The 24,289-nt window shown below is 33.2% G+C and overlaps 1 protein-coding gene across 9 annotated transcripts in view; it reads right to left on the minus strand.

The window, feature by feature from the left end:
- Window positions 1–24,289, minus strand: part of COL11A1 (collagen type XI alpha 1 chain) — a 232,050-nt gene that overhangs the window by 60,778 nt on the left and 146,983 nt on the right. For all 9 annotated transcript variants that reach the window (NR_134980.2, NM_001190709.2, NM_080629.3 and 6 more), the window contains 3 exons: window positions 9,599–9,706; window positions 3,077–3,184; window positions 1,785–1,838 (listed from right to left, as the gene is read on the minus strand). Coding sequence is in view for 8 of the 9 variants with exons in the window: in NM_001190709.2 (NP_001177638.1) it covers window positions 1,785–1,838; window positions 3,077–3,184; window positions 9,599–9,706 (270 nt within the window). In the remaining variant the exon portion in view is untranslated. The remainder of the gene's footprint in view (window positions 1–1,784; window positions 1,839–3,076; window positions 3,185–9,598; window positions 9,707–24,289) is intronic.

A 24,289-nucleotide genomic window follows, 5' to 3' on the forward strand; every position in this document is an offset into this window, starting at 1 on the left:
TATTTGAGATTTGCTGGCCCATATAATGGCCATGCAGTCATTTTAGCATTGCTTTTAAGGAGTAAATAAAACTTTTAAAAATGTGGCTTCTGTCGAGTGTATAAGGTAGTCTAATTAAATCCATAGTATTTATTTATAATTAAGAAATCTAAATGGAATCTAAAGTAATTTACTGCTATCGTTTGGATATGGTTTGTCCCCACTAAAACTCATGTTGAAATTTAATTCCCAGTGTTGGGGGTGGGGCCTAAATGGAGGTGTTTTGGTTCTTAAGGTGGATCCATCAGGAATAGCTGCATAGCGATTGAGTTCTTGCTCTGGGGAGATTGAATTGTTTCTTGAAGGAATGAATTAGTTCCCATGAAAGAGGGTTGTTTTAAAGTCAGCACTCCTGTAGGGTTTGGTCCCTCCTTGTTCAGGCCCGGTTCCCCTTTGAACTTCTCTGCCATGTTTTGACACAGAACAAAAGCCCTCACCATAAGCCAAGCAGATGCCAGCCCCAGGCTTCTTTGTACAACCTGCTGAACTGTAAGCCAAGTAACCCTATTTTCCTTATAAATTATCCAGCCTCGGGTATTCATTTATAGTAACACAAAACAGACTAAGGCAGATACCAAAATACATTTTGTAAATGTATAGTCAATACTAACTGCATCAAACATATGCAGCCGGTTTTCTGTACACAATTTCTTGTCATAATTTTACAGCATGGATCTGGAGTATCAGTGCTATCACCTGTTTGTTGGTGTTTTGTTTCACTGCATATAAAAATGAATTATGCATTAAATACTACAATTATTACTACAAGCTTTTTCTCTTTTCATTCTAGTGTTTTCTTTTTAGTTAGAAAAATTCATCTCATAGGACTATGGTAACTCTTCAGTTTGGGATTCCATCAATTCTAATAAAAATCTTCTTTCCGTTATGTGTTAATGTAGGCAGTAAATCCAACCCTAAAAGCATCAGACTGATGGATCACAAAATAGAACCAGACTGGTCTGTTAGAATGAAATTGCTGGGGATAATGTATAAACTTCCATACTAGGTGAAAAAAAAAACTTGAAGGACATATCTCTGTACTCCCCCAATTTATGTTTCTATCAGAGAGCAAATACATGAACACTTAAAGGGAAAAAAAAATTAAAAAAAAAGAACTTAGAAAATAATGTCCACAGATATTCTTTAGAGAGTATAAATTAGTAAGGAAGTGCTGAAGCATGTGACAGTATCATCATCTAACATATTTCATTTAAGAAGTAGGAACATGTTTAAATACATAATTTAAAGAGAATATATACTGGTAGTGACCAAAGAAAAACATCATAAAGACAAGAGTGAACACACCATTTGAATGAACAACCAAAATTATATTGAAGTTTTATGATTTAAATGAAAAATTTTAAAATAAGTATTTATAACATATGGGAATAAGTGACCAATTTGTATACATGTAGAACATAGTAATACTGTTAATTTTGGTAAATATATGTATACAAAATTTCTCATAATCATACAAAAAAGACTATTTCATTATGTTACTCTTTCATGTGCTATAGCAGAGTTATAAATAATGGCCTTACAATCATCATACTTTACTTAATCACAGAAATAGAAAACTTCACAAATATATAAAATTATAGAATGATATAACTGCAGAGGTAATGTAGTATTGGTATTATAAGTATTGGCTAGGAAAGTAAGTAGCACTATATAAAAATATCAATGGTAAACAGTAAAAGTTGTTAAATAAATAATGTTCTCTCAGTAAGAAGTAGGAAACTCACATTTTCTCCCTTGTCACCCTTGCTGCCTTTTTGTCCCGGCTCACCAATTTCACCCTGAAATTGAAAGATTTGACTTAGAGTTTATCTCTAACATGCTATTGCATTGTCTTAATTATCATCAAACAGTTAAATTTTACCTTTAATATAATTACATGCTAGTGTGTAATGTCACTGTTTAAAATGGAAAATCTTGGGTTCCCACTGCTTCTAGCTTTCTAATATTGACTAATATGTTAACAGACAAGTCCGTTTAACTTCAAAGTATACTACAACTGAATTTATAATTCAAAAATCAATTTTGTCTCAAATATTACCTGTATAAACTGGTAACGGAAATACACTGACATATAAAATCTATAATTACACATTAATCAAAAATTACTTTACCAGCTAGGTTCTGGGTCGCGCACCTGTAATCCCAGGTTTTGGGAGGTTGAGGTGAAAGGTTGGGCCCAGGAGTTTAAGATCAGCCTAGGAAGCATAGTGAGACCCTGTCCTACAAATAAATGTTTTTAAAAAGTTAGCTGCACATGGTGAGGCATGCTTGTAGTCTCAGCTACTTGGGAAGCTGAGGTGGGAGGATCGCTCAAGTCCAGGAGTTTGAGGCTGCAGTGAGCCCTGTTGCACCACTGCACTCCAGCCTGGGCGACAAAAAAAGACTCTCTCTCTCAAAAAAGTAAAAAATAAAAATAAAAACAAAATAATGGAAAAAATTCTTTTCTGCTAATTTTCCAGATGCTAAAATGATGCACATTATCAGAGTGCTGGTTTAAAAATTTTTAAATAATATTTTAAAATAATATAATGATGTATTCAATTGAAACATTTAACACACAGCCATACATTTGGAATTAGGAGCTTAGAGTCTGTACTCACATGTTGGTAAATGATAACAGGATTATGAAGTAAATATGTAGCTCATTCTTAAGTCTTATTGTACAATATCCAAGACATGAGGACTAACCATATACATGTAATTAATTTTTTTATTTTATATTCATTTCAGAAGGATATTCTTAAAAATAAATAAATTTTGGCATCTACTAGTTTTTCTCACTACCACTGTTCTTTTAATTGAGTTTTCTGTTTATGTATCACATACTATTTTATGGAACAGATACTAATTCTGAACCTCTTAAATAAAACTTTTGAGCATATGAAAATGTGTGTGAAACTTTGAAAAAGGTAACCTTTCACCTGGCGCCTAATCATAAAGATTAGAATTATCTAGAATTCTTGACAAAAATTAAGCTTTTTCACAGGATCTACTAACACGAATAATGAATACCAACCTTGTCTCCGTCTTCCCCAGGGGAGCCGGCAGGACCAGCTGGCCCTGGGAGACCAACAGGACCTTGAACTCCATCTCTCCCTGCAGGCCCTTGGGGACCTTTTTCTCCCTGTATTGAATATCCAAAGATCATTAATTTTACAGTTTTGAAGTGCAGCTACAAGAGTAATAATCTAGCTTCTATATTTGACAAGGATATTGTTTAATGTTTTTTAGAAAAACATTTTAAAGAATAAATGATACATGTTCCCTACCTTCATTTGTGACTAAGAATACTATTTTTTTAAATCACTTATAAATCTTAGGCTATGATACACAAAAATAATTAGGACCCAACTTAGAATTTTTCTTTCAAACATGCAATTATTATATATTGACAAATCAGATTTCTTACATTTGCAAAACTTTGCTGAGCCTCTTCTCCCCTTCCTTAGTGCCACTGGCATAGCTGTGCAATGGGTATTAGGCTTTAGAAATCAAAAAATGCAGTTGCTCATATGTCCAACTTTGCCATATGCTTTATATGTTTCATATGTAACTTTCTTATTTTTAAGTGTTTGTTTTGGTTCTCCTGGTTTTTAAAAATGGCATTATTTTCATGTTTAAATTTACCTATACTGTGTAATTTTTTAAAAGTGCCTTGATAATGAACTCAACTTCTGTTTCCGATAAAATATATTTTTGTAATTTAAAATAAATTATTTTCTAAGAGTCAAAATTTCATCAGTTTTGCACAAGATAATATTTTTGATTGCATTCAGAGGTCCTTTCTGTCCTTCTGTTATACAAGCTGGGAATCTACAAGTCATTAGGTTTTGCCTTTTCATTACCCCACTTTCCCTCACTTCCCTTAACATCTCCTGCTCCTTTAAAATGACTTAGTTTTAGACATTTTATCTCCTAATTATCTCTTGAATATATTGACTTTATCTCCATCACTGACACCTTACTCTATAATACTGGTATCCTTGTTCTGAGCTACTGAAAAAAACCTCCTGCCTTTCCCCATACGTATTCTTACTTCCTTCCAATCTATTCATCACACTGCATCCAGAAAGCCAATCAGATCATGTTACCTACATTCTTAGGTCAATTTACTTGTTTACTTTTCCTCAGATAAAGACTTCATGGCTTAGGGCAGCCTACCATGATCTAGCTCCTGCTACCTGCCCAAACACATCTAGCCTCCCCTAACCCTTGCTCTCTGCATTCCAACCCTTCTAGACATTTTTCTCAGTCCCTTAAATCTGATGCCATGTCCATTCCTGTGACATTGCCTGAGCACATTTTTTTCCTCTGGCCTGGAATGCCCCTATGAGAACTCTTTGCATAGTTAATTCCTTCTCATCTTTTACATCTCACCATCAATGCCTTGTCCAAGGAAAGTCCCCAATTCTAGCAGGTCTCTCTACTATAATCTGACATACACTATTACATTCCATTCATATGAGTAACCTGAGTTTGCCATTATATATGTATTTAGTGATTCTTTGCATATTATCAAATTGCCCTATCAGATAATAAACTATGTGAGGGTAGGAATTGTGTCTGATTTTGCATTCTATTATATATCTCTGGCCTGTGGACCAGAGTAGTCACTTAAGGAACTGTTGCTACATTACTTAATTAATGACAACAAAAGTAACAACATTAATAAGGCAAAATTAAATTGTTAACTAATTTATTACTTGCCTGGGTTTCATATGTTCTTGTTTTTCAAAAGGATGCCATAATTATTATAAGAAGGATGCCCCTGATGTCACTCTGGAGACCTTTTATCTTCTTCAAATAAATATGATATTTCAAATCTATCAATACTCATAGGATGTGCTGTGCTATTCACAGTAAACTTCACTATATTAAATACAATAGTTGATTCAGATAGTTCCCCTTAATTTGAATTCCCTTGCTAGCCTTAAACTCTAAAAGTCAATCCTTTTGTATAAGGTTTCCTGTAAATAAGGCAGATATATTCTCTTCTGCCTTCATTATAGTACACATAATCTCTAGCCAGGAATCACTTGCCATTCATTTCTTCTGACCCTGGTCTGTGTGATGTTGGGAGAAATTCAACAGATCTACAGCACTCTAAATTTATATTAGCCATTTATAATTCCTCAAGATGACATAACTCTTCCTCCATTATGTATCTCTTGGCCCACAATCTGCACAACTACTGGAAACATTCATCTCTCCTTGTAACCGTTCTTTATTTCACCACTTCTAACATTCCATTTACGTTAATAACTAAATCTTTCCTTAAAAAATGATAGAATTAGCTAAACATCCCCATGTCTTTTGTTTGATTTGGCATGGTCTTATATTTAACCTATACTCACACCCACAACTTTTATTACAATTCACAAAATCCATCACTCCTTCCTCAAAAGCTCATTTGTGTATTCATTCTCAGTTTATTATTTCATCCTTTTTTATGGCACTCTGATTCACACACTGATGGTAATGATAATACTACTACTAATAGTAATGATTATTCTGAACACTTCTCACAACTTATCACAATTCTGAAAAATGATTTAGAACTATAATTTTATCTAGTCCTCACAAAATACTGTGATTATCTTCTTTTCAGAGATGGCCATCTTCTTTTCAGAGTTGAGAAAACAGAGGTTTTGATTTTAAATAACTTAACCAAAATCATGAACTAAATAAATGATAGGGGTAGCTCCCAACCCACTTCTGGTTGTCTTCAAGCAGGCAACTTGAGTCTACTCTCATTTCCTTAACTCCTTAACTTTTCCACTGACTATTTTCTTATTATTGATAAAGTAGATAAATATATGCACCACATAATAATAATAATGAGGCAACGCATTCAATCTTATTAGTACTTCCACCTATGGCTCATTTTTCTATGGGTTCCATGCCCTGCTTGAGGTGATTTACATGTCCCTACTCCACTCCTCTATAGTCCATTTTTTTTCTTTTTGAATCAATTTAGAATTAATCTAAAGGTATAAATACCCAGCAGGTAAAATCCCAGTCTCTTTATTTCTTTGTCTTTCGGATTTCAGTATTCTCGATCTTTTACATCCCACAAAAGGGAACTTGTTTATGTCTTGTTCTGTTTGATGGCATGCCTCTGGAGATACACACACACACACATACACACACACACACACACACACACACACACACAAACAACCTCATGGACTATTTTTCTCTCTTATTAGATGCTTTCAGAACTTACACCCATTATAATTCTCCATTAAGACTTGAGTCCAGGCTTCTGTTTTCTCTCAACACTACATCACGTGGTAATCCAAAAATATGCTTTTAAACATCACTCTTATTTTAAATGACTCCCAGACTTACAATTCTGGCACTGATTATTTTCTCTGCAATTATACACACATACATGCTAGAAATTGTAAATAAGTATTTGAAGAATACTTTTCCTAAAATTTCAAACTGCTATTGCCTAATTCAGTTATAGTTAGTGCATTGACTTCACTGTGTTTTAGATCTAGCTCTTCCCCCCAATTTCTACAACTGTCCCCAAATAGATGCATAGTTAAAATCACTTCTTCTCTGTAATCTTTGCATCCAGTAACTAATAGTTTTCATTAGAATCAGTTTCCCTATCAAAATTTTCTATCAATGAAATTAAATTGGAGAAGGTTTTAGCCCCTTTCTTCTTACCTGCTTTCCAGACTCACCTCCTAGAGTTTCTAATCTAACTGATTAATAATATAGGGATGCTAATTAGGACATTTCTCCATTCTAGGAAGCAGGGTTGATGGGTAGGTAGACCAAGGGCTTGTCTTCCACAGGTCACATCTTGCCTTTCTTTTAATGCAAATGTAAACCTGCTGATAACTGCATAACATTTTTATAAGATAAGCTGCTCAGCAGAGGTAAGATCTAAAATTTATATTTGAAAAGAGGAAGAAGTAAAGTCTAGATATAACATTTTGCCCAACATTTTCATCAGTTTTTATTAAACTTCTGAATGGATATCTATAACTCCTTTCACTGAACACTCTTATTACCCACTTTATGTTACTGTCCCTAAGCAGACAGCTCCTTCAAAAGTATAATGCTAACAATACAGTGCCTACCCCTTAGTTATTCTAAATAGCTAATTTTGGCTAATAGAAAATGGAATGAGCATGCTGGAGTTGTTGTCCTTGGCTGGGATAACTGAAAGAGGATGGGGAAGCAAGGCATTCCCTTTTCCCTTCTCTAGTTATGATATCACTAATTACCAACAAAACTCAGGCCTGAATCCTGGCTCTTACAAAGGCTAATGTCAATAATTTTTCATCTGTCTCACCTAATTAATTTCTTATCGGTTTCAATGTTTTTTGATATTCTGATCTTTATTTCAATAACTTACTTATTCTTCATAAATCTAAGGTTTTTATCCACTTTAAAATCTACCATTCAATATATTATCTTCACAGAAATATTGACTTATCTAATTAGTATATTCTCAATTTGTATACAAAGCAATTTATGTCTATTTTCTCTGTATGCATTATTTAGTGTATTGTGCAAAATATGTGTTCCCTATATTTTTTAATTAATTTGTATTAAAGGAACTGAATCTATTTTCTATCTTCTCCTAGTACACAGTACACTATAAAATATATTTTCTCAGCATATTAAAAGTGCTTTTTCTGTCACCTAAAAGTTCTATCCACAGGTGGCATGGCCCATTCCAACATTCTAACTCTTTCTGAAAGGTAATGGATTACAGAAAACATTTTTTTTTTATTTGCTACAGTTTGAATGTGTCACCAAAAAAACATCTTTTGGAAACTTAATTCCCAGTGCAACAGTGTGGGGGAGTAGGGCCTAATGAAAGCTGATTAGGCCATGAGGGCAAAATGAAATTAATTAATGCCGTTATTGCATTAGTGGGTTCATTAAAACAAAGGGAATTTGTTTTCTTTTTACTCTCTCTCTCTCTCTCTCTCTCTCTCTCTCTCTCTCTCTAGCCCTGTCTTTCTCCATCTACCATGGGATGATGTGCCAAGAAGTTCTTTACCAGATGTGGCCCCACTATCTTGGACTTTCCATCCACCAGCACCATGAGCCAATATATTTTTGTTCATTATAAATTACCCAGTCTGTGGTATTCTGTTATAACTGCACAAAATGGTCTCAAACAGAAATATTGGAATAATATCACAGAATAATCAGAGAAAATGCATAGACAATGAAAGCAAATCAACTTGATAAAACTGAAGTCTTAGTGATAGAGGAGTATTTTTGAATATAAGCTTAAGCTTAATTTTATATATCAATACTTACCAGTATACAAAAATATTCAACTTATATTTTTGTGTATCAGAGCCAATACTTTTTATCTACATTTACTGAAACAGTTTGTGTTTTAATCTTGTAGGAAGAGAGAATCATTTTTAAAAAATACAATCATATCAAAAGCAGGAAAAAAAATAGAGAAGAAATCTTAACAAAGAAACCTAAACATAATGAGTGGAATAGTCCATAGTCATGTAAATATAAACTGAGTATATACCCAAAGGACTATAAATCATGCTGCCATAAAGACACATGCACACGTATGTTTATTGCGGCACTATTCACAATAGCAAAGACTTGGAACCAACCCAAATGTCCAACAATGATAGACTGGATTAAGAAAATGTGGCACACATACACCATGGAATACTATGCAGCCATAAAAAATGATGAGTTCATGTCCTTTGTAGGGACATGGATGAAATTGGAAATCATCATTCTCAGTAAACTATCGCAAGGACAAAAAACCAAACACCAGATGTTCTCACTCATAGATGGGAACTGAACAATGAGAACACATGGACACAGGAAGGAGAACATGACACTCTGGGGACTGTTGTGGGGTGGGGGGAGGGGGGAGGGATAGCATTAGGAGATATACCTAATGCTAAATGACGAGTTAATGGGTGCAGCACACCAGCATGGCACATGTATACATATGTAACTAACCTGCACATTGTGGACATGTACCCTAAAACTTAAAGTATAATAAACCCCCCCCCAAAAAATGTTAAAATCCAATAGATATTAGATGAAATAATTAGTGAGATGTTCCCTGTCTCACTCACTGGCGATCGGAGCTCAGATTACATGAGAAGGGCAGCTATTTTCTATGAGTCTTATTTACAGACTATGGAAATGCTTGAAATTGAATTTGTATTACAAGAGGTGTAAAAAGTTCACACTTTTCTAATGTAAAGCAGCAAGGTATAGCTTCAATAAAAAACTCACAACTTTTTTTTTTTAAAAAAAGCAAAATGAAAAGCCTTTTACATTAATAATATCCAACTCCCTCACAGGTATTACGGTTTCATAAAGTGTGGGAAAATGTCATCTCATTTAATTGAATTTGAAATTTTCTCTATTATACATATACGAGCCAGGGTATTTACATGCCAGACACATATGCAGAGAGAATACGGTGGTGTATGAAAAGCTAATATTATTGAATAAAAAGTAATAACGTGTACAGGGTAGCAGCATAATATATTTTCTCCTAGACATTACTTACAGGAGCACCTTTCTCTCCAGCTGGACCAGGAGGACCCTGAGGTCCCGGGCGCCCTGGTAAACCAATTGGGCCAGCTGTACCTGCTGACCCACGTTCTCCTGGTGAGCCCTAGTATACAGGAAAAGAAGTATTTTGTTATTAAAGAAAGTAATACTGGCTTAAGAATCACTTATTTAACAATAGCTTCTTACAGTCTAGTAAATTATGTTAAAGAAACATTTAGAGTTTAGATAATTTTAAGATCCCAAAGAGAAACAGTTGAATCCACTATTTGAGAGACTAATTTCCAGCCCCAATATTAAGCATAGATGTTGATGTTAGAAAATATTGATGAGATGAAAAAATACATCAAAATTAGATGTATTTAATATTTATTTAATGTTATCTGTTTCCATTTAAGTGTTCATAATTGTGCACAATGCTTTATAAAAAATATATCTAATAACCTCCTACATAAATTTCTCCCTGTATTATAATGAATTGGCAGAATACAATCCCTAAACTAGTGTTTCTTGAAGTAATTTCTAGGCTTTTTTTCAAATGTGCTGAACCAAGGTTTCAAAATAAAAAAAATGGGTTCAGAAATTCTTTGCATTAGGATACACACAAAATTTTTTACAAAATAACATTTGATAATCACTATCCTAAAGTCTGGACGTTTTCCCAAAGGATAAGCTATTAAATTCAACTTAGAGTTCTATAGGACCACTGGGTCTTATGAACACTGATGAGATCATTTGAATCTGATTAGGTTTTTTAATTTTTTTTAACTGAGTTTCAAAAAAGATGTAATGCTTTTAACTAGTTTGCTTTTTTAAAAAACCTCATATATATAGATTTTTGAAAATAATCACATGGATACTGCTTTTATAGTAATTATCTGTACCAACAATTTAAGAAAACATTATTAAAACAAGAATAAAAGAAATGCAAACATACATACTAAGTATTGTAAAGCTCAAGTATAATCTATTTCTACTTCCAATTTTAGTTACTAAAAGATAACAAAAAATTGTCTTTGGATTCTCAGAGGGGTGATTGAATTACAATTTATCTTTTTATTTTATGTTTAAACTAAATGTAAAATATTAGAAAATATAATTGTTAGTATTTTTTCTTAATAATTAACATACTTAGATAACATCATCATTTCAAAACTCAGAGAAAATTATTTATAAAAGCTGGAAAATATACTACTTTATGTTTTCTACTATTATACTTAATGATATATTAGAAATCATTTTATTATACAAATTTACATTATTGACTTTGTTCTAATTTGTATTTTTATTAACCAGGAAACTAATTACATGTGATAAAAATGGTAACTATACCAACAACTTGTATTAACATAATGCTTTACAATTCACAAATCAGTTTAACTTTCATCTTATTTTATTCTCACAACAATTCCAGGTAGTTTATAGAGCTGTTGTAGCATCTGTTTTAAAAATGAAGAATCTCTGGCTCAAAGAAGTTAACCGTCCTTCCTGTAATCATATAACTAGTTAAGAGAACCCTGAGCTTGGACTCTACTCTGATTTCTTGACAAAGCCACCCATTGGTTCTTTCTAATGAGGACATCAATGTTTGTAATTATTGGGTATCTTAAAGTTAGTTGATAGAAATAATTTGGAGAGACATTGCCAAAAATATAATTAAGGAAATTGTGAAATTTGAGCTTTATATAAACAAAAGTGGCATTTTTGAGCTGTGAGTAAGTATATATTCAAAAACTAATCTAGGGAATATTCTTATATTGCATAATAAATGAGTTGTATGTAAACTCTATTTTTACCAATGAAGTATTCCAAATACTAAAGAGGAGGCTATAGTTATAAGAGAAAATTGCAGTTAGTACTTTTTTGATAATAAACATATACTTTTTCATCAATGTATTTTTTAATTTAATAATATTAAAATATTTTATGAATAAAATAGTCAACCACAAGTTGTATTACTGTTAACCAGGTAACAGACTCCTGTTGAATGATTATAGAAGTCAATGCAGTAGAAAAAATAATAGAATCCTCCTACTGTTGCACATTCAAAATGAGCAACCCTAAGAGTAAAAAGAACACAAATATTTGCCTCTAATTCTTTGAGAGGGAGGTCAGGAAGGAAGAAAAAAGTATAGGAGGTGGATAAGAAGAAGAGCAAGAAGAGCAAGGTCTATGAATTGAGAGGAATGCAAAGGTGTCCCTTGAATTACTAAAAAGAGAGAAAAGAAAAAAGTCAGTAATAAAAGTGCTCCTTTTTTGGTAACAGAAACACATCAACAGAAGACAACACATGATGCAACTAGGGTTATTCTACTCAAGTTAAAATTAATACCACTAAAGATAAATCTCCACTAATCTGAAACACTGATTTATTGAGGATCAATGTACATATAAGGTGACTATATTACAATTTTGTTTAGTATTTCACTTCTAACCCTCACAAAATGATTGCTATCCATTAGTTTTATCAAATCTAGAATAAGCATTCAATTTAACTTCTGCAGTATTTTATTTGTAATTGGCTATACAAAAAGAGGTGCGATTTTAATTTGTCGGGCCATAAAATTTTTCTCTCTTTAATCCTGTTTAAACCCTAACTGTTCAAAGAATACCCTAGGAAGATATCACACTAGGCTATGGCGAAGTTGATGGGTACTAGACTAGAATGAAAAAGGGAGAATCAACAAAAGTTTGAAGTCCATTTTAAGAGAATTAACTGACTTACAATTATTATACCTACTAATTAACAATTATTGTGCTAAGTGCTTTGCATATGCAATATAATTTTATTGCTGTATGACTTGTATATTTTTAAGTTAAAAACCATGGACTCAAGGTCTGTGTGCCCTAATTCACTACCAAGTATTTTCTACAACGCTTAGCAGTTTATAAATGGTGAAAACAAAATTTCCTTGACTCATTGTACCCATACAACTCATGGGTACAATGAATTGTGCTAAATTTTAATAAATGGAAGAAATATAGCCACTTAAGAGCCACTTCTACCAAAACAAGCTCATTTTGGTTGAACATTGTGTAAAACAAACAAAAAACTTAAAGGAATTGATGAAAATGCTTGTCTCCTTTATCCAAATAATCATTCTCCATCATTCATTCAGTTCATTTGACCTTTGATACACAATTCATTAGAATCTCTGCTCTTGGCTGGGCACTGTGTCTCATGCCTGTAATCTCAGCACTTTGGGAGGCCAAGGTGGGCAGATTGCTTGAGGCCAGGAGTTCAAGACCTGGATAACATGGTGAAACCCCCTCTCTAATAAAAATACAAAAATTATCTGGGTGTAGTGGCATGCACCTATAGTCAGCTACTCAGGACAGGAGGGTCACCTGAGCCCAGGGAGGTCAAGGCTGCAGTGAGCTGTGATTATACTGCTGCACTCCAGCCTAGGTGACAGAGCAGGACTCTGTCTCGAAAGAAAAAAGAAGTCTCTGCTCTTTGTCATATTGTTTATAAGTTTATTTGTAATTTTCAACAACAAAGGACGTTTTCACTTTTGGTAATTTTTCAACACATTTCACTGGAGACACCATGGTACTTTTTCATCTGCCTTCACTCCTTATTTCAGAGTTCACCTATGCTGAACTCTGAAATAGTGTGGGTTAATGCATCTTTTTGAGAATATATTTATCCTCAGTCATCCTAGAAAATATTCAACTCACATTCTTAGAATTTTTTTTTTACTTTATATCTTAGCATTCTACTTTGAACATTATTTTATCCTAAAATATTACATCTCTCACTGTCTCTCTAACACAATATGTCCAATTTTCACTTCTGAATATTTGGTCACACTTATCTTCTGACATGGAAAGTCTTTGGTCTTTTCCTATACTACTAAAATTCCAGCCTCTTTTTTTTGACCCAGGTCAATAACCATCTGATATGCTTAGGCTTTGTGTCCCCACCCAAATCTCATCTTGCTTTATAACCTCCATAATCCTCATTATCCCCACCTGTCAAGGGAGAGATTAAGTGAAGACAATGGAATCATGAGGTCAGTTTCCCCCATGCTGTTCTCCTGACAATGAGTGAGTTCTTATGGGATCTGATGGTTTATAAGGGGCTCTTCCCCCTTTGCTAGGCACTTCTTCCTGCTTACTTGTGAAGAAGGTGCCTTGCTTCCCCTTTGCCTTCCACCATGATTGTAAGTTTCCCGAGGCTTCCCCAGCCGTGCTGTACTGTGAGTCAATTAAACCTCTTTCCTTTATAAATTATCTAGTCTCGGGCAGTTCTTTATAGCAGCACGAAAATGGACTGATATACCATCTTACCAAAAAATTGTATTTTCCTGAGAATTAGAAGCATGAGATCCTTCAAAGTATTTCTTATACACTTTCTTATAGAACCTTGGTTTTCTACCATTATTTTTGGAGTGAATTAATGCAGCACTTGGCACTACATTCTGAGTAGTAAATATCTCCATGTCTCTTAATTCATATTAACAAACAATAATATATTGACTGTATGCATTAAATAACTATAATGCATTTGTGTTTTTATTATGTATGCAAACATGTTGAACATGTTAAAAATTTAGGCGTCACGCCGGGAGTGGTGGCTCACACCTGTAATCCCAGCACTTTGGGAGGCCAAGGCGGGCGGATCACGAGGTCAGGAGATTGAGACCATCCTGGCTAACACGGTGAAACCCTGTCTCTACCAAATACAATAAATTAGCTGGGCGTGGTGGCGTCTCTACTAAAAACACAAAAAATTAGCCGGGTGTGGTGGCAGGTGGTAGGTGATAGTCCCAGCTACTCGGGAGGCTGAGGCAGGAGAATAGCGTGAATCCGGGAGGTGGAGCTTGCAGTGAGCCGATATCGCGCCACTGCACTCCAGAGCCTGGGCAACGGAGCCAGACTCCGTCTTAAAAAAATAAAATAAAATAAAATAAAATAAAAATTAGGCTTCAAATGTACACACATGTAGTCAAGAGAAATTTTTCAAATTTGCAGGAAAATTGCTATTGAATGTATATTTTCCCTGTAAGAAATGGTTTCAAAATGAAAGAAAATAAATATTACCTTAACTGGATGCATTATGATTGACATGTTATATGAAAGTAAGCCATGGCTTTTACTTATGAAAATAATGCTTATTAAATTTATACCGAAGTATGTTTATTATTTAAAATTAATTGAAATATTTTAATAATTATTTTAACATATATCAAGAAGAGACAGAATGCTGATTTGACTCTATGGCAATGTGTGTAGTTTGTAGATACTGTATACTATTTTTTTTTGAGATGGAGTCTTGCTCTGTCACCAGGCTGAAGTGCAGTGGTGCGATCTTGGCTCACTGCAACCTCCACCTCCCAGGTTCAAACGATTCTCCTGCCTTAGCCTTCTGAGTAGCAGAGACTACAGGCACCCGCCACCACGTCCAGGTAATTTTTGTATTTTTAGTAGAGACAGGGTTTCACCATGTTGGCCAGGATGGTCTCGATCTCTTGACCTCGTGATCCACCTGTCTTGGCCTCCCAAAGTGCTGGAATTACAGGTGTGAGCCACCGTGCCCAGCCAGATACTGTATACTATTTTTTATTTAAAAGCTTAACTGTTTTAATTTCTCCCTTGGAGCATTCATAAGATTAAATTTCAGATTGTCATCTTGCTTGTGGAAGCTGCATTAAAATTAGTGTAGAGAATATATTACTTTTCTGTAGTTAAAATATTGCTCATGATCTTGTCACAGCTCATAAACTTTGAAACAACAGATGAAAACAAGAGAAGACTTTTGGAATGTATATCCATGCCCTAAAGTACAACTGCAATTTCTTTTTCTATTAGTTACTTCAAACACTCTCAAAGCCTAGATGTTTGTAATAACAGCATGCTCTGCTATAATTTTATTTTATATATCTATAAATGAAAAGTGAAAATCTCTGATGGTACCTACCCATTAAGCAAATGACATAGCAAACTTGCAAATCTTATTTAAATATTCTCATGCCAACTTTAAAAGAATAAGCCTATGAATCCTTTAATCTCAACAGAATCACTGGAGAAGTTATATTTTTTAAGCAAAAATTTAAGCCCAATATGAAAAGAAGGTACCATTTAGACATTCAACTAAAAACTCCATGTTCAACACTAATGAGAATCTATTCTCTTGGGACACTTGATTGTGAATATGAAATGTATTATGGCAGGAAGCAGCCCTTGAGAAACTCACATTGTGTATATACTTTTTTTGTTTGCATAAAGAGTAGGCATATATAGTGAGACATTTTTGTATTGCTGTATAGCTGGCTAAAGAACAAGGGACTTTATAATTGTCAGATAAATAAACTATTATATCTAAACTGAATGATTGTCTTTAAGCATAGGTAAAATAGATAATGATCAACTTCACAAAGGTAGAGGTTTTTGATTTTTCTTTTTTTTTCTTTTTTCAATGATCTCCAGCAGTTTGAGTAGTTACTGGCACATAGTATGCCATAAATAAGTGTGTCAATTAAGTGTATGATCTTTCCCTCTCTAGCACTGGAACCACTAGCTTTCTGATCTGGAGCAAACTCTCTATGGGCCACTTTTGTTGCCATAGATGGAGAGAAATAGTTTGTCATCAGGTTTTTGTCATGTTTACTATGATACATCTAAAGTTATTTCAACAATGCCTGTCATAATAGAGACAGAAATAGTTTGTCATCAGGTTTTAGTCATATTTAATATAACTAAAGTTCTTTGAACAATGCCTGTCAAAAAGTATAAATGTAATAGATGTTAGAGGACTGTAAGTGAACAGTTATATATTCCAAAAATAGATATAAAATCTCAAATAATTGTAGAAGTAAAATTTTACAGAAAAGTAAACTAAGATCCAGAAAATTATATGGCATATTTAATACATTAATAAATGAATATCAAAACAACAGGTATAAAATACCCTGTTAAAAGAAGGGTAGGGCTTTTTCCACCATTAATATGGCATTGTTAATCCTAACTTTTAACTATTTGTATACTTGTCTCTCTGTAAGAAGGATAGATATTTTACACATTGAAAGTGCTTAGCTAGAAAGAACTCAAAGGAGGGACTAAAAATTATAGCAATATTATTTTCTTAATATGTGATTTAAATGACAATAAAAACATGTTTCCCAAAGGCAATAATATCTGTTTAATTTCATGAATTACAATGACCATAATATCATAAGTGTTCTGTTATTTCGGTACTAAATATTAACAACTATGGAAAACATGCCATTTTTCTCTTGTTTTGAACTGAAAAGTGAACATTTACATGCTTTTAAAAGGGAAGAATTTACCTTTCTCTACTTAGTTACCTTTCTTTACTTGTGTATTAGCTTTATCCCCTTCTGCAGCCCTTCCCCTAAATCCTGCTGCACCTTCATCTAAAACTTACAATGATAATGAAACAAGAAGCAATAGCATTGGTCTATATTCCTGGAGCAATGAGAATAGAAAGTATTCCCCTAATCCCTCACACAGATGAGAACACCAAAATAAATGTTTTATCAGTTATTTTCACTGGATGTTTCATATTCTGAGGAGCATTTGTAAAGTAAATGAAAGTGATAGACAAATCACCTCATCAGCATTCAGTTAAGATGCCGCCCACTAGAGAGAAAAATAGAAGCATAAACACATAAAGTGCTTACAAACCAGAGCTATACAACTAGAGGGCAAAAACACGTCTGCTCTGTCTTTTTAAAAAGTTGACCTTCAGCCAGGCACCTTGGCTCACGCCTGTAATCCCAACACTTTGGGAGGCCGAAGCGGGTGGATCACCTGAGGTCAGAAGCCCGAGACCAGCCTGGCCAATATAGTGAAACCCCGTTTCTACGAAAAATACAAAAATTATCCGGGTTGGTGGTGGGTGCCTGCAATCCCAGCTACTCGGGAGGCTGAGACAGGAGAATCACTTGAACCTAGGAGGCGGAGGTTGCAGTGAGGCGAGATTGCGTCACTGCATTCCAGACTGGGCGACAAGAGCGAAACTCCCTCTTGAAATAAAAAAAAAAAAAAAAGAAGTTGACCTTCATGTCAAAACTATGAAGTACTTTCACTCTCTACATGACATACATTTTAGATTACGTGAACTAAAAATTCAGATGAACTATCAAGCATTATCAGAATTTAAAGCATAGACTCTGATGATCAAAGTCAAATCAAATACCTCAGATTTTGATCACTGGTCCCCATCACTATTGCTACATTTATCTCATCCCTAGTTGGATGTAATCATAGTCCACTAAGGTCTACCTGGGTCACAATGGAGAAAATGGACTTTATCTTAAAATGTATAGAGTCTGACTTGGCATGTCGGTACATGACATCCTTTTAAACCTTGGTTATTCCCTTGCTGGAAGAATAAGTAAAAGCCAAGGAAAAGAAGGTTCTCAGAAATAGGATGAAGAAAAAAAAATAAGAGGAATAGGAATTATGATAGGAAGAGAATGTGAACTCTTAGAGAAGCAAGAGAAGAAGAAGAAATAATAAATAAAGAGGAAAATAAAGTCAGAATCATGGGGGGATGGTCACATAATAGGAGTCACAGGAAAACAGCAAAGACTGCTATACCGCACAATTTTGAAATATTGGACATATATTCTGTACCAGCTATCTGGCTCCTCTCATATACTTTCTGCATGTTAACTTCCACAACTCCTAGGGATAAAATATACATGTGATTGTAAAGATAGAAGGCTTTTACAAAACATACTACTATATTTGTTTTAATCTCATTTTTAGATAAATAACTGTTGTTAATGAGATTGTTCTCTACCATAAAGAATATCTGGAGGAGAGATTATTTAGGGAAAATATATTTTCCCTAAATATTATTTTCCTTGATTTTGTTTTATAAAAATATATGCAGTAGGTGAAATCTGAGAATTTGTTGCATGATATATTTACATATATCTGTTTACATACATAGAAAACATTTACTCAGTTTATATTCATCATGCAGAAAAATGCTGCACTGCCTTACTCTCTTGATGTTCAGTCTCTTGCTACTTTCTGCCTTGTGTGTGCATCAAGACATCCATTTAGTGACTACATCCCCTGAGATCAGAAGACATGCCCTGGATTTGATTGGCATCTGTTACCAGTTCTTGGATACAACATCACGTATACAGGGAACACTTGGTTTTCCTAGACTTTAAAATCCCAACGTCACAGCACCCTATTGGTATAATTTTGTCATAAGTGGTAGCACGACAGAACGTTCCTCAGTATACAATAACTCCCAGGACCAAAACCTTTAGATAACCCTAACCTTGAAATACTAGTTCTTTACTAAGAGGACAAAAAGTGATGAGCAGTTCAAGACTAAATTTAGCACACAAAAAGGCTGCTTTTCATAGATAAAACTGGTTTTTATTTACAGCTTCAATTCAAACATAATTTCCTTAGGCAAAAAACATTGTTCTCACCTTTGTGTTTTCTGTTCTTTTAGTATATTCTTATTATTTACTATGTTATTTTATCTGCTCTTTGTCCTCCTCAGTAAACCATAAGCTCTTTGCAGGAAGGTCCATTTTATGAATCAATATAACTTCAGTTTAATAGATTGTCTGATATTTTCTGGTATTTATTTCTTTATGGTACTTTCACAGAAAAAGACTTATAGCAGCTTAAATAGTATGCATAAAATATTAGACAATATAAATTTTAAAATAGGTAAGCAAGGAAAACAGGTAAGCAAATAACTTTTTATTGAAGTAAAATGGAGCCAGTAGTAGTAGTAAACTAAAAATGCATACCAAGACCAAGGATTTTTCTAACTGTAGGTTATGCTCCATGAGTAGGTTATGAGGTAAATTTCACAGGTCTTGCCCAGTATTTAAAAATATTAACTATAACAAAATATAATAGAAAATATTAAAGTATATCATAGGTACTTTTGATAGTAAGTTGTGTTCAAAAAGTTTTTACAATAGTTATCAAACATTATCTTCTGTACCGTCTCTATTTTGACTCCATTATTTCTGTAAGCCAAAGTGAAAAGAATTCTAAGTTTTGTAATTCAAACTGACTAAAAAAAAAACCAAGTCAGTTAATATTTAAAAAAATTTTAAATATTCTATAAAAAGCATACTTGAAAAAAAGAAATTGCAAATATTTTTAAAGCTATGGTTAGCAAGAGATTTCTTCCAAGGATATTCATAAAGATGACCCTGTATAAAGCAATATCCCATATCTTCAAACAGATTTTTTTAGTTTATTTGTTTTACAAATAAAGTTTCTCTAAATATAAGTCAATGACATACACCTAGACCTACCTGAGTACAGTAAATCCACTTCTATGGAGTGTCATAATAACGACCTATGTTTCAGACTAAATGGATTATAAATAAAGAGAATAGATGCTAAATATACTTATAAATGAATAGATAGAACACTTGAATGGATACATTAGAATTAAATATTATATTTGTTCTTTTTGCAGATTAGAGTCATATAGTAAGGATATAGTGCATAAGCTACATAATTGGGACACATACAAACTTTGCAAATATCACTGTGAGCAATAAGGTTAGCTGATTAAAGCTCTGCTTAGGACTTTTAGTTTTAGTTCATCAGTATCCTGTGCAATGAGGGAATTTATTATTTCCCTAGCAATCCAGAAATACACAGCACAACTACATTCCTTATGAATTGCATTATAGGTGAAAGAAACTAAGAGTTCAATGGCATTCTGACAAACATCTTGTCATTAAAAAATCAACCTGTATATTAGTTTAATCAGTTTCATCTTCGATTCATTCAAAATAAGCAATAGTTATAGAGAATATGTAGTAATATTAAAGCCTAGGTAGTTGAAATACTAACTCTTCTCACTCTCTTTTGACAAAATTGTTCACAGAGATTTAGAAGGGTCAAGATGACTTGAAAATGAGTTTATGTAAAGTGCTATCATGGATATTTGCCCAGATAATTTGGGCAAGCTCTATACTTCTTCAAGCCTCAGATCTTTTGTCTTTAAATATGGAATGGTAAAATAGAAAAAAAAAATCTACCATTCCAAGTTGCAAGAATAAGAATAACAGATATAAAATACCTAGCATAAGAGTTGAAAGAATAAACACTCAATATTACTTCATTTCCCTTTTCTATTTCCTTTAGACTTCACATTCTCTTCCTCAGAACTCATCACTTTGCTTTGCTTTTTCCTTAATACAAATAACCACTGAATACTCATCACTCTGTTTCTGTGAATTCCTGTCTTGCACTTACAATTATTTGGTCAATATTCTAAAGGTAAAGTTAACATAAGATTGATATAAACTCAGACATATACATTATAAAATGAATTTTTAGAAGATGTTCTTATGCCTTTATTCCTTATGACTCAGAATTTTATCATTTCTCACCAACTGATCAAATACTTCCCCTTTAATATTTTGCCATCACCTTTTCTATTAACATTGCAAAGCAGAACTTGTTACCTTTTAAAGAAATCCCTACTCCTGATTCTTTTTTTTTTCAATATTAATTGCAAGGGAAACTCATAGTAAGTTTTGAACCTCAAAAAATAAGAATTGACATTATTAATTTTCTAGATAAATTATACTTCACATCTAGAAAACCATCCAGTTTTTGTTTTATCTGTCATTTGGAATTAAAAAATTCAAAATCAAATTTTATGTGATGTAATCACTTTAAATGGAGTAAACTAAGGCTCGCTCAGCACTTGTTATGAACTGAGTCATCATCATGCACCGCTTCACTAGATTCTGCAGCAATTAAAACAATAGTGTTAGGAACTAATAAATGTGTATGGTGTCTTCCTTTTAGTGAATCCTTTTCCAACAACTTTAAGGAATAATTTTAATTGGTTGATGTTTGCATATTTGATTTGCAAATATAAGAATGGTTATTAATTTCAAATAAACACAGTGAGCATCTATCAAGCATATCTATTAGCAAAGTATAAAATCCTTTGTAATTTTTTGTGACTGCCAAGAGGTTTTAAAAGTTTTTGTGTGTGAATATTTCTGGTTTTTGTTTGTTCTTGCTCTTGATGAGGTAAAATTGCTCTAGGCATGGAAGGCGTCACCAAACTGTCATTCTCTCAAGGACATAAGCTTGAGGTCATTGTTCAGTTTTCATTTGTCCTCACTGCCCACATCAAATCTTAGTCATAAATCCTACTACCTCGCCCCCTCCGTGTTTGCTACATCTGCAATGTCCTTGGATTCCACGTTGCCCAAGTCATCGGCTCACTCCAATGTTGACATTGGTCACTGGACTTTTGTGATCTATTCTCTCCTATCTCTGTTAGATATTAAACATTAATGACAGATTTGTTTTCTTAAAACTTCAATTTGTTTACTCCACTTGTTCTGTACATTTCAAATATTCAAATGACTACATCTTGCAATTTCAGAGCTTCAGTAATTATATGTTGTATTAGTGATTTAGTTTTTTATTATGTAAAATAGCAGAGTGCTTAGATGCTAGCAAGAATTCAACAAATGTTAGTCCATCTCCCAAATTTTGTCCCACTTGGGCAAAAACAGATACTAATTAAACATCACATCTCTTTCCTAGTATTTTCTCGCTCTTCAACGATTTTGTAATCTGCACTCTGTGAAGCCAAGTTCGAGGGTCACCTTTTCCACATGGCCCTTCCCCTTATTTATATTCTCTTTCTACCTCCCTCATAGAATTAACATTTATTGTTTGTATGTCATTAGGCATTTAATCACCAACCAACTTACAGTGCTATTTAGTCTTTGGTGTATTTCTTTTCAAAATTGTTTATCCTATTTTATCTCAAAGAATATCTACTGTGATGTTCAGTTGCATATAACAAAGTAAGTAATAATTCTCAAATACACAGTTGAAGCCAAATAAATAAAAGTACATTTAATGTTATTCTACATGTAACTATACATATTTCAATTAACATTTTGAAAATTGTATCCCCTGGACATAGTATGCAGCCTACAAATACACTGGTTTCAACTGTTCCCAACCCTTGAGAGAGCTTCAGTGCTTGGTTCCTAAAAAATAACTTAAAACAATTTAATCCTTATAGTCACAGCTCAGATGATTAGTTCAGTGTGCATTTTTCTTAAAACATCATTTATTCCTAGAAGATATCTTTAGAATCTGAAGGTCTGGTTAAATGGATTGCATTTTACTGAAATTTTAGAAGATTCTATATCTAAATAAGAACTTTTGTCTTATTAAGTTGTTGTTGCTGCTAATGCTACTGTCACTAACTTTTGAGGACATTAGAAAATGTTCATAATTTTATGAACTCCAGTGTAAGTCTAATACAGTTATCAAAATATATTTTCTTTAAAAAATATCTTTGCCACATTTCCATAATTATGTCAATGGTTGTTATATGATGTGAGTGAAGTAAAGAGTAAGTATCATGTGAATCAATCTGAAAAATGATACACTTGTTGTATTCCCAGTATTAAGTAATGCTATATAAAATTTATTCCAATATTAGGTATTCATAATAATTCAAATGGGTAAGTGTGAGATGATTACTGTGCTTCAGGCACCGTATTTTGAGTAACCAAAATAATACTGGTAACTCACAGCCTAATGCGAGAGACAGCCAACTATATTCCAATGTAATTTCTAAAAATGGAGATATAATAAAGGTCACTGGGTGTGTGTGTGGGGGGGGGAATTTTTACAAATACATGAAATGGAGGCAAATTATCCAAAGATGACTTTATAGAGATTTAACATTTAAGAGTTATCTTTATGGTTGGGTAGGATCTTTGTCAAGTAGAGAAAGAAAAACTGGAGTTTCCTGGAGAAAGGGGAAAGGTGTACAGTATACTCTTCTCAAAATAGAAAAGGTCATGGTTTTGAGAAGCAAGACAACATTCAATGCATTAAGTTGGGTAGAATTAAAAGGGAGGCATGAAGGGAAAAAAAAAGGACTATAGCAATTGGGGTTGAACTATGAAGATGACTTGCTGGCTAGGATAAGGAGCTTGGTTTCCAAAGGCAGTGTGGAACTATAGGATGGGTATGATAGAGGAATGCCATAGTTAAGGATGTATGTTAAACTAGTATTCTATAGGTGAAACTGACTGAAGGGGATAAGAAAATGAATCAAAAGATAAGATGTTATTAGTCAAAGAGAAAGGAAGAGGAAAGAGTCTGAACAAAATGGTGGTGGTAGAAATGAAGAAAGCGGAAAAATTAGTAAAATATTTTGGAAGCAAAACTAATGAATATTGTGTGAAAGGAAGTTGAGAGGGCCTTTAAGGCAACTTTCAGCTTTTTAGATTGGTGAAATAAGAAAATGAGAAGAAGACACTAAATATGGCAGTTTGGCTGTTATAGTGAAATTTCAGTGTGCAGATAAGAATAAAGGTGAATTTATTAAAAAATGAAGCATACATTCAATTGTTTTCTGAGGGATTGATATGTATCTCAAGAAAAAAATGAGGTAAAAATCTGATATTTACTAATTTGCCAATTATTTCATAATGTTTTGATTAAATAAAGCAATATGCATAATATATAAGATTGTGCTTATGGGTTTTATGCTTTTATGCTTATGTTTTTTGTATCATTGACAAATTCAAGTCTCATCAAGTACTTATAAACAAATTAAATATGTTTTATAATAAATGAATGATAGAATATAATTTATAAGAAATCAAATCTTATTTTATAAGTACTTCTAAAATAATAGATGTAAATGAAGTAAAAA

The sequence above is a fragment of the Homo sapiens genome, chromosome 1 (genome assembly GCF_000001405.40).
Source record: "Homo sapiens chromosome 1, GRCh38.p14 Primary Assembly".
Classification (NCBI taxonomy): domain Eukaryota; kingdom Metazoa; phylum Chordata; class Mammalia; order Primates; family Hominidae; genus Homo; species Homo sapiens.